At 44.2% G+C, this 4,652-nt stretch overlaps 1 protein-coding gene across 1 annotated transcript; it reads left to right on the forward strand.

Annotated features, from left to right (window-relative positions):
• The first annotated feature begins 266 nt into the window (after positions 1-266).
• On the forward strand, positions 267-3,855 carry PATE1 (prostate and testis expressed 1). Its single transcript, NM_138294.3, has 5 exons — positions 267-344; positions 649-684; positions 1,364-1,399; positions 1,688-1,810; positions 2,588-3,855. Exons 1-5 carry the CDS (start codon positions 293-295, stop codon positions 2,719-2,721), a joined length of 381 nt encoding a protein of 126 aa, NP_612151.1. The 5' UTR covers positions 267-292; the 3' UTR covers positions 2,722-3,855.
• The last annotated feature ends 797 nt before the right edge of the window (positions 3,856-4,652 follow it).

The following is a 4,652-nucleotide window of genomic DNA, read 5'->3' on the forward strand; positions in this document are numbered from 1 at the left end:
TTCTCTTACAGTACAGTATAGTGAAAAGACCATAGAACCTGGCATCAAAAATCCTGAGTGGTAGAACTGGAATAAATCAGACTCAGGATTGACCTGGCCATTACCTCTCCCCACCAAGTTGCAAGGAAGAGAAATAACAGAGTCATTGATTTCCCTAGGAGCAGGTTATGCCTTCCAAGAACTTCCACAGAGTCCCCACCCCTAACCCTTCGCAGGAAAGCCCAACCTTGCAGGTGTATAAATAGGCACTCTCGAAGCTTCGTGCTGTAGCCTGGCCCTCCCTCTTTCCAAAATGGACAAGTCCCTCTTGCTGGAACTCCCCATCCTGCTCTGCTGCTTTAGGGGTGAGTCCCTAGGGTTGACAGCTGGTAAGAGTCCTGAATTTAGGAACAGGTGAGAGCACCCATGACAGAGGCCTTCTCATGGGAGTCCTATGGCAACTGAAGCATGATGAGCTTCTGTTCTAATGTTATGCCTTCTACCAGGGGTATGTCATGTCCCCAGGACCTTAACTAAAGCTCTTCTCCCTTCCTTTATGGGGGGAAATAGGTAGATTAGAGAGGAATTGAGTGGATGTTCATAGAAGCTTTGAGATGGGGTTTGGAAAATGAGGTCTGCAGACAGTGTATCTCTTTTTTTTTCCAACAGCATTATCTGGATCACTTTCAATGAGAAATGATGCAGGTGAGTAGGAATAGATAAGTGGTATGAGAAGGGGAAGGTCTGAGGAGGAAAAGATGAGTGGGGTGAGGTGAGCACCAGGGGCCAAAAAAAACCAAAATACGAATAGACCTTGAGTTCCAACACGCAACAACCTCTTCCAGCAGGACAGAGCTGGCATGGGAGCTGATTTTAGGTTTGACAAAATAACATTAGCATCAACTGACAAGGTCAGGAGTGAGCGTCAGTGAAGGGCAAGGAAAAGGAAAAGGAGGAAGTGGAATGCTGGCTTTTCAGGTGTCGCTTGGCCAAATCTAAAGCGTGGCAACTTCAGGAATTTCAGGTTGTCCCCATTGTCAGATTCCAGGCACCCACAGGTAAGAGTGCCACACAGAGTCAATTAAAAAGAAGGGAATGAAGCAAAAAAGCAGGTGCACTTATCTTTCTCCTCCTGGTCTGTGCTGCATCCTATAGGAATGGGTAGATGAATCTGAGAAGCCCCGAAGAGGTGAAGAGATTTAGAAGGAGAGAAGAGGTGCAGAGATGCCCAGTAGGTGACTAGGCATTAGGGGGACAGAGTGGGCCTGGAATGGCTCCAGTTTAAGAGTGCAGGATGGACCCTGAAGGGCAGACTATAAGAACCCAATACAAGAGTAAATCTCAGGCACATTTCAGATGTGTTTTCTTTCTCTTGCCAGTACAGTCAATGAAATAGTTGCTGTGAAAAACAATTTTCCTGGTAAGTATGAAGAGGACCTGTCTGATCACCTCAGTCTTGATAATGTTTCACTTTTCCTTATTCCTCCACCTTTCTTTCCCCTCCCATTTTTCAGGCTAAAATTCCTGAGACCATAAACCTCAATCACTCTCTTGGCTTAGTGTATTTCCACAGAGGAAGAGGTTCACGCTTGATGGGCTCTGGCAAAGCCCTGTGGCTCTAGGCAGACTTCTAACCCAAAAGGGGAGAGGGGTTCTTTCCTGGTAGTGCCATCTTTTCTCACTTCTCTTTCCCCTCTCTCTGGCCAAGTGATAGAAATTGTTCAGTGTAGGATGTGCCACCTCCAGTTCCCAGGAGAAAAGTGCTCCAGAGGAAGAGGAATATGCACAGCAACAACAGAAGAGGCCTGCATGGTTGGAAGGATGTTCAAAAGTAAGTTGTGGGTTGGGGAAAAGAAGAACGGGCAGAGGACGTATACAGGGACGTATCAGCCACAGGGGAAAGGAGAGATCTTACTTTACTTTTACTATAGGCAGTCTCATACCTGGGATGGCTGATTCCTTCATCCCCATCATATGCCGTAATGAAAATTAGATGGAGGTGGTCACTAAGGAGGGTGGGGGCCTACAGCTAAGGGATTAGCATTTTGAGAAGCCTGAAGAAAACAGAGGAGAATAAATCAAGGTAAGAGAATAGGTGTAATCTATGCCCAATGGGTAACAGTGTGTTGTTGAGTTGTGGAGGGGGCTTTTGGTTCTTGTGCCTGTCTGGGCTTCCTTACGGATGGTTCTAAACTGTGGAAATAGAAGGGCCAGTGTCATCAGTAGACTCTGGCTGAATTGCCCTGGATGGTTAAGATGAGACATCATGATTTCTCTTTTTCCACCCTTTGTGCTAAATTATCTCTTGGCATTTATAACCCTCACTTGAACCAGTGTTAAGACTCTCAAGAGAAACACCCAGCTTTGGCAATCCCTGAATTACGGCTCTCCTTACTGCCCTACCCCAAATGATCATTTTAGACTGCTCCATCACTGCATTTCTTTTGGGAAGCCCCCAGCTTGCAACATCTTCCAGTTCTTTACATTTGAATAACGGAGCTTTGAACTACACAAGATTATTTCTATATGTTGGTGTGGTCTGGAGAAAAGTTTTTTAGCAGAACTTTCATGGCCAGGCTTCCTGATCTGTTTTTTCTCCCCTCCACAGGGGATGGTAATCCCTGGTTAACCTTCATGGGCTGCCTAAAGAACTGTGCTGATGTGAAAGGCATAAGGTGGAGTGTCTATTTGGTGAACTTCAGGTGCTGCAGGAGCCATGACCTGTGCAATGAAGACCTTTAGAAGTTAATGGTTCTTCTGTGACTCCAATTTCTGGGTGAGGTTGTTGCCTCAGCCTCTTCACAATGACTTTCTAAAAAAAATCACACACACACACACACACACTACAGAAGAGGATTGCAAACACATGGCTCCATCTTCTGCACACGAAAGGAAAGTCCCTCTCCTTTTCTACAGTCTCTGTCACGCCCCTTAAAATAAGTAAATAAATAACCTTGAGAGAAAGAACAAGATCAATATATCCTGCAGGTTGCTACAAACCCTTGTGCTTTCACTGTATAGCCAGTTCATTCAGAAAAGGAGGAAAGGGTAGTTTAATTTCAAAAAAGAATCCCTTCCTCTTTCCTCTGCTGCTTTCCTTCCTTCTGTGGCAGGGTATTTTAATATATTTTTCAAATTTTTTTCCTTTCTGTGTTATCCTTCTTATCCCACTCCAAAGAAAGCACATAACTGTGGCCTGAAGGGATGGGGAGTAGCAACATAAAAAGAAGTGGCTCAAGTCTTCTTGGAGTTTGTTCATGAATGCTGATCCCAGGGTGAGGAGAAGATTGGGACATAGAAAGGAAACTGCATCAGAAACATGAACAGAGAAAGATTGTCTGCCTTCTAGAATCAGATCTGTTTGGGGCTGGGGGTTGGAGAATAAAAGCAGGAGAAGTCTATGGGATTCTAGAAATAGTACCTGCATCCAGCTTCCCTGCCAAACTCACAAGGAGACATCAACCTCTAGACAGGGAACAGCTTCAGGATACTTCCAGGAGACAGAGCCACCAGCAGCAAAACAAATATTCCCATGCCTGGAGCATGGCATAGAGGAAGCTGAGAAATGTGGGGTCTGAGGAAGCCATTTGAGTCTGGCCACTAGACATCTCATCAGCCACTTGTGTGAAGAGATGCCCCATGACCCCAGATGCCTCTCCCACCCTTACCTCCATCTCACACACTTGAGCTTGCCACTCTGTATAATTCTAACATCCTGGAGAAAAATGGCAGTTTGACCGAACCTGTTCACAAGGGTAGAGGCTGATTTCTAACGAAACTTGTAGAATGAAGCCTGGAAAGAGTGATGAATTATATTATATTATATAAAAATAATAATAAAAATATAAAGAAAGCTACCTTTCTTCTATACCCAAATTGTGTGTCCTTCTTTCTCTCTCCTCCAACCTCTTCCTAATTCCTTTAACAAACATGTATTCAAAACATACTATGTTCCAGGTACTGCTAGACCCTAGTATGTACACAGCATCATAATCCCTATCCTCATGGAGCTTAGACTAATGGGAGAGACAGATCTTAAGTAAATAATAATAATAGCTTCCACTTATATGACAATTACTATATGAGAGGCACTGCTATAAACACTTTTTATTTTCTGACTCATTTACCCTTCACACAAACCTGAAAGTCATACTACTCCCCATGTGGGTCAGTCAGAAACCAAAAACAGCACCAGTTATTTTTACAGAGACTGTAAAATTAAGAGCGGTTAACCAGGTATTGAAGGATACAAAAAGCCAAAGGGAGATATCGAGTTAACAGAGACAGAAATTGCAAGAAACAGCTAAAACCTGTAGGTCTAGGGAAACACAAGGAAAATGTTGGAGGTCCATACTTCTAAGGTCTAAGGTAATTAAGGTAATTAGACTAGACCTTAGAAGTGTGGGGGAAGGAAGTGCAGATGGAGGATCTCTTGAGCCCAGGAATTCAAGGCTGCAGCGAGCTATGATTGTGCAGTGGCACTCCAGCCTGGGTGACGGAGGAAGATCCCATCTCTAAAATTAATTAATTAATTAACTTAAAACTGTGAGGGAGGGATCCCTTGGAACTGGAACCCAAACATCTCAGGAACAAAGGGCCTCCATAAAGATAAAATGCATACCTCTAGGGAAGGGGTACTGTTCAGATGGTGCTGGTATCTCTGTGGGGCACCA

This window comes from Homo sapiens, chromosome 11 (genome assembly GCF_000001405.40).
Source record: "Homo sapiens chromosome 11, GRCh38.p14 Primary Assembly".
NCBI lineage: Eukaryota > Metazoa > Chordata > Mammalia > Primates > Hominidae > Homo > Homo sapiens.